The sequence below is a fragment of the Homo sapiens genome, chromosome 15 (assembly GCF_000001405.40).
Source record: "Homo sapiens chromosome 15, GRCh38.p14 Primary Assembly".
NCBI lineage: Eukaryota > Metazoa > Chordata > Mammalia > Primates > Hominidae > Homo > Homo sapiens.
Genome location: NC_000015.10, coordinates 73243512 through 73261891, shown reverse-complemented (window position 1 = coordinate 73261891; position 18380 = coordinate 73243512). Strand labels below are relative to the sequence as shown.

Genomic DNA, 18380 nt, shown 5'->3' with positions numbered 1-18380 from the left:
TTATAAGAAGACATGAAATCAGCTAGTATGGGTCTTCTAATTTTATTCTTTAAAAAAATTGTCTATTCTAGTTCCTTTGATTTTTCATAAAAATTATTAGAATCAGCTTATCAATTTCTACAAAAAAGCCTATTGTGACTTTTCTTGGACTGCACTGGGGAGAATTGTCACCTTAGTAATATCACGGCTTCCAACCAGTGAACATGGTATCTTAAGTATTCTTTAATTTCTCTCAGTAACAATTTTCTATTTTCAGTGCACAGATATTACACACATTTTATAAGTCTGCTCCTATGTACTTCATATTTTTTGATGCTATTCTACGTGGTATTGTTATTTTAATTCCAATTTCCAACTGCTTATTATTAGTATATGGAGATACAACTGTTTTTGTATATTCACTTTGTATCTTGTGGCCTTGCTAAATTCACTTATAGTTTTAGTGACCTTTTTGTAGATTCCTTAGGATTTTCTACCCCAGTTACAACGAACAGATATAGTGACCAGATATTGGTTTCCAAAATCATTTTACTGTTTTTGTATATTCACTTTGTATCTTGTGGCCCTTTTGTAGATTCCTTAGGATTTTCTACCCTAGTTACAATGAATAGATATAGTGCCCAGATATTGGTTTCCAAAATCATTTTTCATAAAATAAATCAGGGTTCCTTAGAGAAATGGCTGGTTCCAGGGCCGAGGCTAGTGAAATACTAGATGAGCCAGGAACATCTTACTATGTTGTCAAAAAGGAAGAAAGTGCTCAAAGAAAGATGGAAGATGTCAAATGGACACAGGAACCAGTTATAAAGAGATTCCCATTGGCCATTCTCTTCATAGGGGTGAAAGAAAGTTCTTCCTTATCACAGGATGTTAACACGTGTAGAGGAAATATGGAATTAGAAAATCACCACTGGGGAAACACCATTCTAATAACTGTTACTACAGATGCTGAAACTAGGGAGTGAAAGTGTAATGGGAAACAAGATGTTTATAAAGACTCAAAGTATCTCATCCACAAGATACTTTTAATTACCAAGGAAAAAAATAACAATTTTATAGCAGGAAAATGTGGCAGATACCGTTTTAGCCAACTGATTAAAGTTAACATCATTATCAATATAGGCTGTAATGTGCCTCCTGATATGATGCACTGACAGAAACCCAACACTTCTACCCTATTCCTTCCAAAAATGCAAAACCTGAATGTAATGAAGAAATATTAAGCCAAGTCTAAATTGAGGGGCATTCTGCAAAATATAGCTGTAAATGTGGTTAAATGTTAACATTTGGGGAATTCAGGTGAATAACATGCAGAAATTACTTGTACTATTTTCGCAATTTTCTTGTAAAAATAAAAATATTACATAAAAGGTTAAAAAGAAAGGAATCTCCCACACAATTAACTTTCTCTACTTAGCAAACATACCCAGATTTTCAATGGTGTAATAGCGCTGTTTATAGTCCACTTTGATGGTCTGGGCATGAGGGCTGCCAATGCCATAACCAATGGCGTAACCTCTGACCACAATGTTCTGATTCTCTGGAGGAGTCCAGCTCACTACGATGCTAGTAACGAGCGGGCGTACGTGAAGAGAGCTAGGCACTTCAGGAACACGAGTTTCTGGGAAGGAAAAGTGGAAAAGCAAGATGAGATATACTGTCCTTTAAAATATCTCACCATCCTTGGGGAATGGTGTTTAGCTTCCTACCACACTGTTTGGGGCTAAGTTTTTTACATTATGCCCAAGAGTTCAAAAAGAATCTGTATGTATAGTGAAATACAGCCCATGATTTTACTGCATTCTAAGAAAAAAAAAAAAAAAAGACCTGAACAGCTTTAAATACAAGACACTGCAATATTAATTTGGAAGAGAAAACAAAGAGATACAAGAACCTCTTCTGCCCCAATGGAGAAAAATAAATTGCCTTTCAATAGTTACCATCTCTCTTGGTCCCACATCCATTCCCAAACTCTACCAGGTGGAATGAGAAAGGCATAAACTGAGTAGTGGGAAGCCTGTTGTTAACAGGTGTTTAAGCATCACATTATAGCAATAGCACCAATTATTTACTCCCCTAAGTAGTATGGTAAGTCAGAAAACATGAAAGTTTGGAGCCACAGTTGATTCAATTGGTGAGAGACTAAGAGGCTTACAAAGGAGGAAATTTACATGCTCTTTCACATACACTGTTTTCAGGGCATAAGTTACTACCTTAATTTAAAAATTAGTAAACTGAGGCCAGGTATGGTGGCTCATGTCTGTTGTCCCAGCACTTTGCAAGGCCAAGGAGAAAGAATCACCTGAGCCCAGGAGTTCAAGACCAGCTTGGGCAACATAGTGAGACCCTGTCTCTAAAAAAAAATAGCTAAGTGTGTTGGCACACACCCGTGGTCCCAGCTGCTCAGGAGGCTGAGGTGGGAGGATCGTGCTTAAGCATGGGAGGTCGAGGCTGCAGTGAACCATGACTGCACTCCAGACTGGGTGACAGTGTGAGATCCCTTTTCAAAAAAAAAAAAAAATTAGTAAAATGAGACTCAGAACAAGAACTCAGGTCTTTTGCCTCCCAAGTCCAGCACCTATCACTGATAAAGGTGCTACCTATACACACCCATTTGGGAGTACTCACTGAATAAACATGTGAGAAAAAGGGCAAGGTGTCCAGGACTAAAAGAAAAGGGAAACTGCAGTTGAAATAAAGGCATGATTTATGTGGCTCAGCCTTAAATTTTAGATCATCCATCTACTTAATGGCCTTGATTAAAAAAAAAATCCAACTTATAGCACATACACATTTTTATTTGCTCTAGTTCTGCTTGAAAGGACAGTTCTCTACAAGGCACTGCAAAAAATCCATTCCAGCAGCCTCGATGCAATACAGGAACAACAGCAGCGTGATGCACTAAAGTTCACAGACTTGAGCCATATCCACCCCAAGTCTGTGGCTTTCCAGTTTGACTCATTTGACTACAGCTAGTATCTATTGTGTTCCAGTCTTGCCAATTGTTATTCTTACCATCTAGGTCACTTTCAAAAGTTTCAGCAGACAGCCAGTCAGTTGCCGGGCCTGTACCATTGATTGTTAGAGCAGCCACTCGGAAATTATACTCAGTCCCCCGATCAAGACCTGAGACCAAATGACAAAGAAGACAACTGAAACAAGAGCTTTGGAAAAACAAAAGATTAATAATCCCTCATTAAGGCAAACATCTCAGTCACCAACTCAGTATATAGCTTGGCAAAGTTTCAGTTTAAGTTAATACAGTGTAGGCAAAATGCAAATACAACATAGAGTAGCTTCCATCTCCAAATAAAGCAAAGACTGAAGCCCACACAATCTAAGAGGAAAACAGAAATGACTGAAGCTCCCAGGAGATTACAGACTTTTGTTTAAGAGCTTGAAGGCACCTCAGAGATCATTTAATGCAATCCCTTTATTGTGTTACAAAGAAAGCTAAGGCCAAAAGAGGCCAAGAACAATGAAAGAGTTATAAAAAAGGAACAAAGGTATCTGGTCTTAGAAGGCACTAAAACCTAGGAAAGAATGCAAAGATGTAACTCCTATTGAGTTACCTCTGTTCTCTGAGCCACCTCATAATCATGGCAGAAAAATTTTAAGCACCAAATACGGTCTCAAAATCTATTCCTTAACAACCAATTGCTCATATATTATATAGTAAGTAAAAGTGGAAAATGACCCAAACCTTTCTGTTATGCAACTTTTAATTTACTACCAGCTAATAAAGTACATGACTTACCAATGTATCAAACGCAACAAACATGCACATAGAAAAGTCTATTCTACAAACCAGGGCAACAGTACTGAGAACATAACTTGGCCAGGACATGAGAAAAGCCCTGGTTTGGTTAGCTAATCCTGTCCCGTGGTAGGGGAGAAGAGTTGGTAGGCCCATCCTGACATCTGTGTGCCCCACAAAGCAAGGAGCAAGACAAAAGGCAGGAGCAAAATGCCTGGGCCCAAGTCAATTTATCTCCTTGTCTCCCCACACAATGAACCAGAAAGTACTAGAGTGTTTGTTGACAGACGATAATCTGGATTACTAGCAAACACTACTCAATGAAGATCTTGAAAGAATCCAACCAATCATTCCCTGTCCTTTGGGGACCACTGGGATGTAAGAGAGAGCAAGCAAAAATGAGGTACTATGCAAAGAGGCTGAGTTCCTCTCCCTCTAAGTACCCTATAGAGTTTATAGACTACAACTAAGGTATACAATACATATCATAAAGATATGGCAAGATCTGTTTAGTGCTATAACAATAATTACTTCTGCTTCAAATTTAATCATATAATGTGTTGTTGGTAAAGGATCTTGGTGATCCATACTGCTCCCTAATACTTATCAGGCTTCAAGTTAATGCTTTAAGAGTGCAAGCATCTCCATTTTTGTTCAACGTTGTATACTCAGTGCCAGAACATGCCAACAAAAGTTCAATGAAATCTATTAAATGAATAAATCCAGATATGATTTTAAAATGTAAGAATTTTCTTAATATAAAGCCATTTTTACCATAAAAATTCTATTTTGCTTACACATCAAATGTTTCATTGAGAAAATGAATAATCTCCTCATGGGCAAGGACTATACTCTTTTTTTTTTTTTTTAACAGCAACAAGAATGATGCCTAGTATATAATAAATACAACTAAATATTCAAAATGAAAAGCCTTACAAATGGCAAATGTTATTTATCTGAATGTAGAGTAAAATATGAAACTTTTTTTTTTTTTTTTTTTTTGGAGACAGAGTCTCTCTCTGTTGCCCAGGCTAGAGTGCAGTGGCACAATCACGGCTCACTTCAACCTCCACTTCCTGGGTTCAAATGATCCTCCCACCTCAGCCTCCCAAGTAGCTGGGACCACAGGTGAGCACCACCACACCTGGCTAATTTTTATACTTTTTTTTTTTCAGCCTCTGCTTATCCATTAAAGTTTTTGTATTTTTTGTAGAGACACAGTTTGACCATGTTGCTCAGGCTGGTCTCAAACTCTTGGGCTCAAGGAATCCGCCTGTCTCAGCCTCTCAAAGTGCTGGGATTACAGGCGTGAGCCACCACGCTCAGCTGAAAATGACTTTGAGAACATCTGTGGCCAATGCTCCCTTAGTGATATTTCTCAGCACCATCTACTGCAGTCATGATATGGACTGCAGCTAAGAGATGTGGGGTTCTTGTGAAGAAGCTGGAAGACTGAAAGACATGCCCCTGGAGACAAACATTCACCTTCTCCTATTCTGAAGGAAGTCAATCCCATTTGTGAGGTGAGGAGTGAGAAGCTTGCTGATTACTAGAGCACAGTTTTTCACTATCAATGGCTCTCTCAATTTTTAGAAACTTATACCCATAAACAAGTAAAAACATTATACTTTTTTTGAGACAGAGTCTTACTCTGTTGTCCAGGCTGGAGTGCAGTGGCATGATCTCAGTTCACTGCGGCCTCTGCCTCCCCGGTTCAAGAGATTCTCATGCCACAGCCTCTCAAGTAGCTGGGATCATAGGTGGGTGCCACCACACCCAGCTAATTTTTGTATTTTTAGTAGAGACGGGGTTTCACCATGTTGGCCAGGCTGGTCTTGAACTCCTGACCTCAGGTGATCCAACTGCCTCAGCCTCCCAAAGTGCTGGGATTATAGGCATCAGCCACTGCACCTGGCTGGAAAACGTGACACTTTTTGACCCCAGATCTTGGTTCTCTCAAGAACCCTGTCCCTGGGGTCACAGGAAAGTGGGTGATGCCAAGCTTCTGTAATCCTTTCAATGTCTACCCAGGAGAGATAAAATATAAAGAAAGTTAAAGTTTCCAAAGGGTGATGAAATTAATTCTTGGGCTTAGAAAATAATGACAATATCTCACATTCTTATAGTTCTTATCTACCAACACGCTTTGGAGTTTCCTAGCAAAAAAATTACCCGAGTCAGAGCTTTTGTCCCGAGATTAAACATGCCCTGTGACTATACTGTTACAGCTACAGATAACTCACACCTTTTGGTTGTAAATGTACTAGTCTCAAATTCATCTGTTTGCTTGCAAAACAGATGGGCTCTATTGAGTGACAAAACTAAGCCGATGCAGCTGAGGCAATACTCCAACAGGCCCAGCCCATGTGAGTTTACTCCTAGGACAGAGGTAGGGTGATGGTGCTGAAGCTGAGGCATGTATAACTGAGCAGGACAGAGTCTTGGCACTGCTAAACTAATAAAGGAGTCGGCAGGATGGGGTCTGCTCAGACTACAGTCGATTCTGCAGCCATATTAAGCATCTATGAAAACCCAATGGAACAAGGACAGCTTGGGGCATCTGTCTCAATTCTTCGTAGGCATGATCTCAACATTCACAGGGTGAAAGCACTCAATCTGGTTCCCATGTTTCTCCTGCAAAAGAACCTTCCCCTTGCTTAGCCAACTCTACTTCCCCTCCTTGAGGAAGACGGGAGGATTCTCTGTGATCTCCAGGGTGAAACCATATTAGATACACATGTGGATCCATTTTTACCAGGTATGCCACTTATTCTGTTGCATATGAAGGGAAAACTATATAGAAGGAGCTTTGCCTGATAGTATTTTCTAAAACTTTATCGTGTCCATAGTCGCATGTATGATTATTGCAATGATGCAGCTATTCACAAATACTGTTTCAGGCCACGTACACACGAGTGGTGGTCGGTGTTACAAAAACCACTTTGTAGACCTCAGTTACCAACTATACTGAGTGGGGTAATTTCTATGCTTATATAACTTTCTTTAATCATTTTTAAGATTACAAAAAAGCAATAAATACACTCAAAAATGAAAACATGGAGAATGCAGAAAACACAAGAAAGGAAAAATCAAACTCGATCTCACCACTCAGAAATAGCAGAACCTTTAAGAGTGTTTTCCATTAATCTCTATCAAGTCAGAAGTGGATTGAACCATTAAAAATTTTCTGAACCATTTTAAATTTGTTTGTATAAGTCGACAGTTCAGAGCAGTCATTAGACTAGCATAATTCAATATCTGAGAAAGACACAGTGTACCTTTTGCCTTTGTGCACGGTAGCTTACCTTCAATCAGCTGAGACAGCTGTGTCCCGCTTACCAAGGTCTCAGTGACATCACTCTTTCGGGAGGCCTTTCGGTAGCGAATCTTGTAGCCAGTAATCTGCCCATTTTGTGTGGCTGGAGCAGGTGGCTGCCAGTGAATCATAATACTCTGCACAAGACAGAATTATAGAAAAAAGGCTGAATATATCAAAAGCTTGGTCCTGTTTTAAATATTTTTATCCTGATTTTACTGTTTAAAGAGAAAAAACATAGAGGCAGCAAGGTACTCAGAGTTTTACAAAGTTATTTAATAATCACTCAAAAATACCTTTAAATTCTAAAACCCTCAATGATCAAATGGGAAGATTATATATTCGAGTAGTACACTCTGGACCCCTGATCTCCTGGTTGTTTTGCCAGAAAGATGATGTTGGATAAAAGTCTCAGAAAAGTTTTCAGAAGGAAAGTATAAGAAGGCCAGAAGCACATGGATTAGGGAACTAACTATTATTAGGTATAAAGATTCTTTCCCGTGTCCAGTGCAGAAGAGCTGAAATTAGACAATTTCCATATAAAACTCTTTAAAAAGGGGACAACTAATTAACAGCTGGTTGCCTCTTAAAAAAAAAAAGGAGCCCTATAGTACTTTCTTGTTTTTTTAGAGTCGGGGTCTCACTCTGTCACCCAGGCTATAGTGTAGTAGCATAATCATGGCTCACTGCAACCTTCAACTCCCGGGCTTAAGTGATCCTCTCACCTCAGCCTCCGAGCAGCTGGGACTACAGGCGTGAGCCACTGCATTTGGCTCTCTACAGTACTTCCTGAAAGGACTGATTATCTTAGTTGTCTGCGTAGTCCAGAAGGGCTCTGGGCCTCTGAGAGGCAAACATGGCCCCTAAGAACACAGCAAACTTGGCTATAGGAAGGACAGTTTGAGGAGATACAACCAATCTGACAGAGGTCTGCCTTTGATTCACATGGCTCATCTCACAGCACTAAGGAACCATGTTATAAACAACTTATTTCCTTCTGCCGTACCACTAAGGTTCTGAACAGTTAACATCTAGAATGTAATGTTTTACAGAAAAAGAGCAATTTAATTGCAGAAATGTTAAAGCAGTTTTGGTGTCAGAGGAAGGAAGCAAAATTAAGGAGAATAAATGAGTGGGTTTTTAAGCCCAGCTTTAATGCAAGTGTAATATCTATGTCTTTTTACTTCTTTGCTTGTGATTTTTTTCACTTACGTTCTAATTTATAGGTTTGGTATTTTTAAATGCAGATTATTACCACATCGCCATTCATTTATTTTGATGCTTTCCTACAGAATCTCCCTTTCTATAAGCCCCTCTGAGGCGCAACAGTATACCAGTAAAAATGAACAGCAGCATCATACAGTTTTACCTTTGAATTTCTCACTTCCAAGGACAGATTCTGAGGAGCAGCACTGGGAACTAGAGAAACAAAAAAAAAAAAAAAATTTTTTTTTTAATCACCCATACATCACCCATCATGTGATCATCTTGGCTGGACTTTAAACAAATGCACATCTCAAACACTGATTACGTGACCAGATCTAAACTAGCTGCCAATGCCCTCATGTTGACAATACTATGTGGATGACATATAGCCATGCCTGGTTCAATTTTTAACATAAGACACTTTCATATGGGAAAGCACCTACACCCAAGCCAGGCTGTACCTTTGGGAAGTCAGATATTTATTTCAAGGATGTACAGTAGCTCTGAACTCTTCTAAAGACTCTCAACTTTTCTAGACCCCATATGTACTCAGAACCTTAAATGTATTCTTTTGAGTATTATTGGTGATGGTTTATCTTTTTGTTTTGTTTTGTTTTGTTTTGAGACTAAGTTTCACCCTTGTTGCCCAGGCTGGAGCACAATGGCGTGATGTCGGCTCACAGCAACCTCTGCCTCCTGGGTTCAAGCGATTCTCCTGCCTCAGCCTCCTGAGTAGCCAGGATTACAGAAGCCTGCTACCACGCCCGGCTAATTTTTGTATTTTTAGTAGAGACGGGGTTTCACCATGTTGGCCAGGCTGGTCTTGAACTCCTGACCTCAGGTGATCCATCTGCCTCGGCCTCTCAAAGTGCTGGGATTACAGGCATGAGCCACCGTGCCTGGCCCTGGTCTATCTTTATCTTGGCAGACAACCATAGGTTTTTCTGGAACCAGGTCTAAGGAATATGGCAAGTGACTGAACTGGGTAATGACATGATGGATCAAAATGAGATGTACATACATCAGTAAGCCTGGCTTTCTTGTGGAGTTTCTAAGCTGGTTTTGAAGGCAGTTCCCAAGTACAGCAAAGATATTTAAGCAATGACAACTGGTAAAGTGAACCATCTGGTTTCCTGAGGCAACCAGATACCAGAAAATACTCATTTAGATGTGAGAAGTTTGGGACTGTTGGTTAAACAGCCACGTAACTTTAGTTCCTCACTTTAGAACATAATCCAGAGTTATCTCAGTGTGTGGCCCACACATTCTCTAGTATCTCCCTTCATATTGGTGAGAGCAAGCAAAGTAAACCGGATTTGTTTTCTCTGCACTTACAAATTGCTGACTTTAGCCCTTCTCTCCTAATCCACCCGTGGAAACTTCTCTTTTTCTGTCTCTAACATTTGGTGACCAGGTATACAACTAAGTGCCCACTGTGCTATAGCTTCTGGAAGACAAGAGAATGTGTCTTGCTCCTTTCTGTAACTTGTGCCTAGCAAAGTGCCTCAAGCCTAAACTCAGAGATTCAGGTAGTCTGGAGTAGGACCCAGGCACATGTGTTTTGAAAAAATTACATTAATGATTCCAGTCATCTCCATGTTAAGAAGTGACTGAGGTTGCAGAGGTATCCAACATATCTGTCATCATTGTCTTCATTATCAACATCATAGCAAAGATTTGCTGCATGGTCATTACATGGCAGACACTTATTCCTTATAATAATCTCAGGACGGAGTTTCTATTCTCATTCCTATTTTGTAGATCAGAAAACTATAGAAGAGGTTCAGGGAAGTTAACTTGTCCAAGATATTTGTTTCACCTGGCATCGGAACCAAGATTTGCGTTATTCCAAAGTGCTGCCCCTAGCCACCATGCTGAGATGTGTTCAGTTCCCACAGGTACTGTAGTCAACATGCCAACACACTTAATGCAGTTAAAATTTGGCTCGTGTGTAGATTTAACAGCCTACAGTAAACATTTTTTTCCCTTAACTTTTCCCCAGTATCTTGCCTAACTGGCTTATGTAGTTCACTAGCTAAGGTATAACCGCCTGTAATTTATTTGTTTCTTTTTCCCAACTTTTTTTTTTTTTTTTTTTTGAGACAGCTTCTCACTCTGTCATCCAGGCTGGAGTGCAGTGGTGTAATCACAGCTCACTGAAGCCTTGACCTCCCCGGGCTCAGGTGACCCTCCCACCTCAGCCTCCTGAGTACTAGGATTAAAGGTGTGTGCCACTAATGCCCAGCTATTATTATTATTTTTTAAGTAGAGATGGCGTTTTGTCATGTTGTCCAGGCTGGTCTTGAACTCTTGGGCTCAAGTAAGTTGCCCGACTTGGCCTCCCAAAGTGCTGGGATTACAGGCATGAGCCACTGCACCAAGCCTCCCAACTTTTTAATCCTGAAAACTGTCAAGCCCATGGAAAACAGTGGCAAGAATAGTACAATGAATGGCTGTTCTTTTCAAATTCACAATTACTAATATTCTGCAACAACTGTTTTATTTATCTTACTATTATGTATATGTATACAGATTTATCTATCTACATATTGTTTCTGAATCATCTGAGAGATGACTGCAGTCATCATACTTCACTCCAAAATTCTTCAGTGTATATCGCCATGTATCTCCTATGAACAAGGACATTCTCCAACAAAGTACACAATACAACAATCACATTCAGAAATTTTAACACAAAAATATTATCTAATATAGCTAATAACATATCTAATATTTACTATTGCCTAATACCATATGTATCTAATATTAAGTAATTATACCAATAGTGTCCTTTATGGCTGTTTTTTTATCTCCAGATGCAGGATCCAAAGATCATACATATTTTATTTCATGTGTCTTTACTCTTCTTTAATCTAGATTCTAGAATGATTCCTCAACCTTTTTTTTCTTTCACAAAACTAATATATTTTAAGAATCCAAGTCAGTTAAAATAAAAATTTTTTTTGCAGAGCTTCCCTCAATTTGGATTTGTCTGATTGTTTCATCATGATCAGATTCAAGTTAAATATTTTTGGTACTGATATAACAGAAGTAATATTGTGTCTTCCTCCATGTATCACATAAGGGGGCACGTGATGTCAGTCTGTTCTTTTATTGGTGATGTTAAGTTTGACTCTTTTCTTAAGGGAGTCAAACTTTACCTTCTAAAGCATGTGTGTTTACGTAAGAGCGGTATACACATAAATACGTTTTTTTAAAAAGACATTTTTCTAAAACATAAGATTTAGCTGAGTTTCATGAAACAACATATACCCTTACTAAGTGCAATGAACTCTAATCTTTTCTGTTCTATTCTAAAAATATATTTTTTTTAAATGCTGGTTTTGACCTACTTAATCTCTTTGGCAAGCTGTAGTTCGAAAAACACTGCTCTAGGTCATGGGTGTATATACATATATATGGGTGTATATATATATATAACTTAATTTAGAAATTCAGTCACAGGTGAGAGATAAAACAGTCACAAATACGGAGGAACTAGAAAGACTAATTTGGCATGCAAATATCATTGCTAAGTAGAATAAGGCTAGTCTTCCAAAAGCCCTGGAATGGTCTGTGTTATGAACAAGCAATAGTATTTACTTACACAAAAGCTTCTGCTAAAAACACAAACGCTGAGAGCCTATCCAGTAAGAGGCACTTTATGCTCTATGCTTTCTCACTGAATCTTTACAGCAACTCAATGAAGTTGGTATTATCTACATTTTACACGTGAAAAAAGATGTTCAGACTTGACTAAAGTCATATTACCAGAAAGAGGTAAAATTGGGATTTGAACTGAATCTTCTAGACATCAAAGCTCATGATCTTACAACTAAACCACTAGGGGCACCAAGTGTGGTATATCGTTCCAGAGGAAGAAAGACTCACCATCTGACAATGTTCGAACAGCAACATCTGGTGTGGAAACTCCAGGACCATGTTTATTGTAGGCCACCACTCGGAAACTATACTCTGTATATTTTTTCAACCCATTAATGGTGTAAGAGTGACTTGAAACATCAACATCCTTGAATAAAATAAAACACTTTATACATATGCACTCAAGCCAAAAGAAAAGTTGAAAATTAAAGAATTAGCTACACAAATTCTATATTCTACATGAAACAGATTTTATCCCTTCTACATAAGGTTCTTCAATAGTCAAAGCAGATGAATCATAAATTGACAATTTACTTAGAAATACTGCTTGATGTTCACTGACCACTGCTGGTAAAAACTACACAATAAATCTTGGTACAAAGAAATAGAATCTGTCAACTTTTCATTTCCTATGTTTCTTTTTCCCCCTCACATTTCCAGTCAAGCAACTACTGAGTTTTGGAAATATATTTCAACTCTACTATTCCAATCAATGGTTTGAAAAGTTGCTTCACTTCATACCTGTTCTTTATCAGTCCCCTTTTCCATGTAGTACAATTTATAATTCTGAATTTCCCCATTGCCAGACACTGGTGTTTCCCACGTAACAGTGATGGAGGTAGGCGAAGCTGCATATGCACGAAGGTTAGGTGCTGGGCCAGGGAGCTGAACTAGAAAGAAAAGTTCGAGAAAGCAAGATATAAATGAAATGCTACACTCCTCAATAACCATTCTTGGCAATACTGTCATATTGGCCACGTTTTTAAAATAATAGAAGCTAAGAAAACAATGGATTTGATTGAAGTGGTTTTAGAATAATATATAAACACATTTTCCTTTTTATGATTCAAATCAAAACCAGAAATTACACTGAAAAACTTTCCTTGTGATTTATAAAATCCCAGTTTTGCAGTGGGCCTACACAAGACATAAAAGGCAACCACCACAGAAAGAGATCCTTCTTTTGCCGGGCATTGTGGTAGCCACTAGGGATACAGTGATGAATAGAATCCTGCCCACAAAGAACTCCCAGTCTAGCAGGAAAGTCAGACATATAAACAGTTACAAAAAATGTCGTAAGTGCTAACAGATTTAGGTAACGGTTATAACAAAAACAGAAAGATGAGAGCACACAATTCTGCTTTGGGAGGGGTTTGGGAGGGAAACCCCTTTGATGAAGAATTCTTGGAGTCAAGCAAAATGAACACTTTCCTCAGATACCAAGGGGAAAATCATTCCAGTCAATGGGGTCAATAGGGAGAATATACAAAAAGACAGTGTTAAGTGGTTCAGCTTGGTTGAAACAGAGTGGATATGGGAGAGAGAATGTTGAAAACAATGACTAGTCAGATAGTGAAGAACCCTCTAATGTCCTGCTATTGAAGCTCACATTTTCTCTAGTAGGTGTTAGGTGACTACTGAAAAATTATGAGCAGGAGCATGATATGATCAGATCTGTGTTTAGAAAGGACATGTGAACACATGCATGGAAGAAAAACAGTAAAAGAACAAGACTAGATAAAATAATAATAATTGTAAAACAGCTACCATTTATTGAATGGTTACAGTCAGTCAAGCACTAAATACTTGACATGTATTTTCTCATATAATCTTTGCACTAAACCAAGTGAGATGAATATTATCACCCTCATTTACAGGTGAGGTTATGAAGTTAACAATCTTTCCCAAGTGATGGGAAAGTTAGCTAGCGGTGGACCCAGGAGTCGAGTACTTGCTGATTCTAAAACGTGGGCTCAAGAAGACCCGTAAGGAGATTACTACAATACCCACGATAGGATGTATGTGACTGGAAGACTGGATCACTGGCTGACTGCTTAAGTGTCTAGCTGGCTCTATCTCCTACAATGGCTCACACACCTACCCTTTTACTGTATTATTTTTGTCTGACTGACAGGTTCCAGTTCCAATTTATACACAAATCCTGTGTGGCTGTCTATGCCTACACTTTGGTAGACATTCTATATTTGAAAACAATTTCTCTGGCACTAGTGTTTCTGTAATAGACATTCATTAGATTTAAAAACTGGGAAGGGAAAAAAAGCTAACAAAATGTAAAACACACTGGCTTTCCTGAATAACAGCACCACAGCTTAAGATTAATTTTGCTATCAAAGTAGAGAAATCTGAATATGGTTACTCTAACAGTTGTTTGCTTTAGTTATGAATCACGTTATTCACTTCAGTTAAGGGCATATTTTGTGCAGCCTGACAGGTGGGATTTGTCACACTTCTGCTGCTATGGAAAACTTTCCTCTAACTTATTAAAGGAGAAGAAAAACAAAACAGTCCCTAAATTCTCTTGAAATCATTTTCAATATATTCATTGGCCAAGTGTAGGCAAATATGATCCTAAAAAAGGTGCTAATGAATTCTTTCATTTCAGCTGTACAGTGGCATAATAAATGGAAAAAATGTTAAGTTGGTTTGTGAAACTAAATATGTAAAATATTTTCCAAGGGCTGGTTCCAACATTTATGCCTCCCCCACACAAGCTGAACACCTCCAGATGAAATCCAAATCTCTCTTCAGAAACTGCTTCTCTTTTGCCAAAACATGTTATAGTCTCTTCTCCATCCCTAAAATACCCTCACCAGAACCTGTTGCCTTTTCTACCTACATTCTTACAACTATTTTCTTTTAGCCAAACTCCTTGAATAAATGGTTATGCTGCCTATTTTCCTTAAGGTGATAACACATCACACTGTTGTCTATGGTACCAGACCGTAAGCTCCTTGTGGACAGAAGTCAAGTCTTACTCATCTTTACATCCTGACTGCCTAACACAGTGGCTGACACATGGTGGGCACTCAATAAATCCACTCTTCTTCACCCCTTTTCTTTCATCTCTAAATTTGACAATGACCCTCGCAGTGGTTCTCAACAATCTGATGTATGAGCTCTGAAATGACAATGAAAACTACAGATCCTTTCCAAGGGAAATGTGAATATGTACAGACACAAATATTTATTTTCATGCAGTTTCAGAAGGTTCACAGCCTCAGGATAGGACCCTTGCATTTCCTTCATTTTTGTCATGACTTACCTTGCATGTGCACTGTTAGATTCTATTTCTGGGATTTGGGTCATGCAAATTCCTTCCCACAAAATGCTTGCTCTAAGTCAAATGCCTCAAGGCCAGCCTCAGGTCTCATCTTTCCCTAGGATCCTGCCTTGACTTTTCTATCTTTTACAGTAAGTTTTCTCTATTCTGTATCCTAGTATCTCTCATGAATGATGCCTCTATATGAAAGCTGATGAAGGGTAACTGAGCTTGAAACCTAATAGAGTATTCCTGCTCTTGTCTGAACATAGGTAACTGTAAAATTCAACATTCTGCCTGTAATGAGAACACACTCTTCCCTTAAATCAACCCCCTGACTCTGTGATGGCCCTCTTGTTCTTGCCTGGGTTTGATTCTTATCTTCAATCTCTGTCACTGAAATGATGAAAGGTCTCCTACCTTGCCTGCTCCTTCTTTAAGGGAAGAAGACCAAGCTTGTTCATCCTTGCATCTCCAGTATCTTGCACATTACCCAGTATAGGGGATACTCAATAAATATTTGACAGGTGAATGATATGCCATAGCATTAGAAAGTGAAGTTCTACAGCTTCTTCACTTATTCTACCCGTCAGGTAAAGTTCTTAAATTATTTCTATAGTTCCACTGGTAAAGTCATTTATTCTGTTCAGCTGCCTGGTCAGTAGCCTCTACAAATATATCTAAAATACTCTCTACCCAAAGTAAAATATTTTATTATTACTGGAGGTTTTTAATACAGAAAAACTAATGCTGTTAATAATAAAATTAGACTGAAGAATACACTGAGGTGGCCGGGTGCGATGGCTCATGCTTGTAATCCCAGCACTTTGCGAGGCCGAGGCGGGCGGATCACGAGGTCAGGAGATTGAGACCATCCTAGCTAACACAGTGAAACCCCGTCTCTACTAAAAATACAAAAAAAAAAAAATTAGCTAGGCATGGTGGCAGGCACCTGTAGTCCCAGCTACTCAGGAGGCTGAGGCAAGAGAATGGCGTGAACCCAGGAGGCAGAGCTTGCAGTGAGCAGAGACTGTGCCACTGCACTCCAGCCTGGGCGACAGAGCGAGACTCCGCCTCAAAAAAAAAAAAAAGAATACACTGAGGAAAAACAGTAATTTGTGTTAAAAGAAAGCAAAAGTCTAGACAAAAGCCTCAAGTAGGAAAAGCATTTATTAAGATCTGGCTGCTTGTAATTTCGGTCCTATAGTTAGTTTACAATCCAAACTTAAGATATACAACACATTTATAATATAAATAAACCTGATTGACACTCACGTCACTGAAAATCTTAGAAATGTAATTAGAAGTAACCCTATTTAGCACGAAAGACCACAGGTCCAAAATAAAGCCTCAAGGAGATTCTAAAGAGCATGGTATGCCTAAAGACAGACAATCCAGTTAAGAACAATTATTAAATACCTTCTTCATGTGCAAGGCATTACATTAGACACTGTGGGAAATGTAAGGATGACAAAGGCTCTGTCTTTGCTACAAAATCAGCAAGGTAAGTTCATAATCATAACTGAAGGAAAAACGTGATAAATATCTTAGACTGTGGAGATAACAATATTAGAATCAGAGGAAAGATTCTAGAAGGCATCTGAGCTAAGTCTTAAAGGGTCAGTAAAATATGAACACGTAGAAAAGCACCAACAGAAGTATATTGTCTTATACTATTTGCTGTTGTTTTTTTTTTTTTTTTTTTTTTTTTTTTTGAGACAGAGTCTCACTCTGTCACCCAGACTGGAGTACAGTGGTGCAATCTCAGCTCACTGCAACCTCCACCTCTTGGGTTCAGGTGATTCTCCTGCCTCAGCTATTCTCCCGAGTAGCTGGGATTACAGGCACCCACTACCATACCCGGCTAATTTTTGTATTTTTAGTAGAGATGGGGTTTCACCATGTTGGCCAGGCTGGTCTAAAAAACCTGACCTCAGGTGATCTGCTTGCCTCGGCCTCCCAAAGTGCTTGGATTACAGGCATGAGCCACTACACCCAGCCCTACTTGCTGTTTTTTGATGTAAATTAATTTTGCCTCCCCTAATTGATAAGGACCCCGAAAGTAAGGAACTGTTATCTTCTGCTCCCCTATGGTGTGCAAGGCTAAACAAAGGTAGAACTTCAGAGAGGTCTACCTCTAGGGGGTGCTGACAGACAGGTGGAAGACTTACCCTCAGGTTGTGTTTCTACTCGCAGTGGAGCTGAACTCTCTCCTGAGCCATGCTTATTTTGAGCCATAACTCTAAAGATGTACACGGTCGCTGGCATTAGGTTTTGAATGGTTACTTGCATCTCTCCTGGGTGACTGGTATTCTCAACACGTTCCCTTTAGACAAAGGATTTGGAGAGAGATAGCATTAATTAGGAATACTTCCAGAATGTACAGTTTCATTTTCCACTCCACATAAAAATCTATCAGTGTAAGTCAAATTAGCTCTCAAACAATGAAGCTTTTGGGGGTAGGACAGTGCAAAGAAGATGGGGACTGGCAAAAGAGCAAGGGCATACGTATCTGACAAATCAGTGATGTTCTTGCTGAAATGTTACTGATATCGCTGACCATAATCACAACTTCCTTTCAGAGAAGACACAGGGCTCTTCTCAATGCCATTTCAAATGGGGCAGCTAGTCATCAACTTTCTAGGCTTTAGAAATCACTGAGTTTTAGGGAAATTGATGGAAGGTGGATATTGGTATGACCTAATGATATTTCACAGAAAATATCAAAGAATGCTGTGTATATTTTGGCTAAGAGACTCTCAATAAAAAGAATGCTAGAGGTTATCATCTTTTAAAATTGGAAATAAAAACATAAAACATTTAAATAAATCCTAAGTGTAACCCAGTCTATAAAATAAACTGATTACAATACTGATTTTTATAATTTCTTAAAATTAACACTTCATTGATTTTGAAGCTGATATGAAATGATATGAAATGTTTGACAAACTTTATCACAAACAACTCAAATCCAGCGGTCTAGTATTTAATATCATGAGATGAAAGCTTAAAACCAGTTATCTAGGTTCTTTACTAAAGGTGGCTTCCAGGTTCTGTCTTGGGGTCTGTGTGACCAACACAGGTCCACAAACATGCTCAGTCTACTGTACTCACTAGAATGAAAACCAGACTGCATAATCAAGAGTTTTCAACAAATA

General features: G+C 38.8%; 1 protein-coding gene across 29 annotated transcripts in view; it reads right to left on the bottom strand.

Moving 5' to 3' along the window:
* The window catches only part of NEO1 (neogenin 1), a 253515-nt gene that overhangs the window by 43315 nt on the left and 191820 nt on the right, over positions 1–18380 (bottom strand). For all 29 annotated transcript variants that reach the window (XM_047432591.1, XM_011521628.3, XM_011521633.4 and 26 more), the window contains 7 exons: positions 17394–17548; positions 12684–12832; positions 12171–12309; positions 8443–8492; positions 7063–7210; positions 3016–3126; positions 1427–1621 (listed from right to left, as the gene is read on the bottom strand). In XM_047432591.1, the coding sequence (XP_047288547.1) occupies positions 1427–1621; positions 3016–3126; positions 7063–7210; positions 8443–8492; positions 12171–12309; positions 12684–12832; positions 17394–17548 (947 nt within the window). The remainder of the gene's footprint in view (positions 1–1426; positions 1622–3015; positions 3127–7062; positions 7211–8442; positions 8493–12170; positions 12310–12683; positions 12833–17393; positions 17549–18380) is intronic.